The sequence below is a fragment of the Homo sapiens genome, chromosome 10 (assembly GCF_000001405.40).
Source record: "Homo sapiens chromosome 10, GRCh38.p14 Primary Assembly".
Lineage (NCBI taxonomy): Eukaryota > Metazoa > Chordata > Mammalia > Primates > Hominidae > Homo > Homo sapiens.
The window spans coordinates 38079698-38081665 of record NC_000010.11 but is presented as its reverse complement, the minus strand read 5'-3'; the positions used below and the strand labels follow the sequence as shown (position 1 = coordinate 38081665).

Below are 1968 nucleotides of genomic sequence, written 5' to 3'. Positions count from 1 at the left end.
CTATGAGCTTTGAGGTTCAAGTTTGACAGCATTTGTCAATTTTGGAACGTCATACAAAGAACGCTCAAATATGGGGAATTTTGTGTACTGTTGCTGAGGCATGTTCACTTTCATCTTCTGATTGTGGTTTCTTCAGATAAGCCAGTTCACTTGTACTCAAAATGTCTTCCTTATTTTTTTGTTTCCCCCACTCCAATTCGTCTATGGATTTATGAACATGTTTTATAGTATTATTACTGATTTGTACTTTTGATTCTTCCACCAAGCTTTTTGTCTTAAATATTTTCCTATTTTTAGAAAAATGTACTGTTTCCCCACACCACTTTTGTACACAATCTTTCATAGAATAGATACAGAAAAAACACAACCACACTGCCTTCATCAGATGAGGAGAATCTTGATACAAAATACAGTATGAGACATTCTATGAAAGGGAAATTATAGACCAAAATCTTCTGAGTATAAATGTCAAAATCTGAAACCAAATATTAAAGTGGCCTAAGTCTGGAGATTTTGAGGAAAAAAAACTGAAATTTCATGGTGGGAAACATAATTTTGCCTAGTTTAGAAGTTTTGAGGGATTGTTTTAAAGAAAAATGTAAAAGATAAATAACATTAAATGGATATAAAAGGTTATAAAATAAAATATTATAAAAGGTTATAAAAATGTTTATGAAATTCTTTTGCAGTCAAGATTGGGATTAGATTTGTTTATAAGGTCTTATTAAAATTAGCCATAATATTAAAATGCATTAATACCCAACTAAATTTTTTTTAAAAATTAAGCTTAAGATTTGTTCTCCATCGAACTTAACAAAAAGAGTATATATTCCCGTGTGCCAGAGTGCCAGGTCACCACATACTATTATGTTGGGTTTGCATATTTGATGATGTGTCACTACCAGGATGCCATCCGGGTCTTTGCCAACATCCTCCTCTACATCCAGAGGACCAAGAGCATGTTCCAGAGGACCACATACAAGTATGAGATGATTAACAAGCAGAATGAGCAGATGCATGCACTGCTGGCCATTGCCCTCACGATGTACCCCATGAGTATTGATGAGAGCATTCACCTCCAGCGGTGGGATAAATACAGCAACAAGATGCTGTGCATGCAGAAAGGTGACCCAGAAGTCTATGAAGAACTTTTCAGTTACTTCTGCCCCAAGTTCCTGTCGCCTGTAGTGCCCAACTACGATAATGTGCACCCCAACTACCACAAAGAGCCCTTCCTGCAGCAGCCGAAGGTGTTTTCTGATGAAGTACAGCAGCAGGCCCAGCTTTCAACCATCCGCAGCTTCCTCAAGCTCTACACCACCATGCCTGTGGCCAAGCTGGCTGGCTTCCTGGACCTCACAGAGCAGGAGTTCAGGATCCAGCTTCCTGTCTTCAAACACAAATTGAAGAACCTGGTGTGGACCAGCAGCATCACAACCCTGGATGATGAATTTCAGTCAGCCTCAGAGGTTGACTTCTACATTGATAAGGACATGATCCACATCATGGACACCAAGGTCGCCAGGCGCTATGGGAATTTCTTCATCCGTCAGATCCACAGATTCGAGGAGCTTAATCGAACCCTGAAGAAGATGGGACAGAGACCCTGACGACATTCACATACATTATTCAGGAACCTGTTTTGATATATTATAGGCTACCGTGAAACCTTTACCTAGATCAACCATCAGCCTGTCAACTCAGTTAACAAGATAAGGACCAAAGTGTTTCAAGTGGATCTCAGTAAAGGATCTTTGGAGCCAGAAAAAAAAAAAAAAAAAGAAAAAAAAGATTTGTTCTCAATGAGATTACACGTGGTAATAATTTTTAATTCTCAAATCTGTCTCTTTTTAAAACTTCTGAGATTTATATCTCAGAAGTTCAACCTTTACTATTGTTTTACACATTATTTACAGATCACACATCATTGCCCTCTGTTTCTTTTCCCCTTCAAAAGGTGTATCTTTT

The 1968-nt window shown here is 38.1% G+C and overlaps 1 pseudogene; it reads left to right on the top strand.

Annotated features, from left to right (window-relative positions):
• Window positions 803-1765, top strand: EIF3LP3 (eukaryotic translation initiation factor 3 subunit L pseudogene 3; annotated as a pseudogene).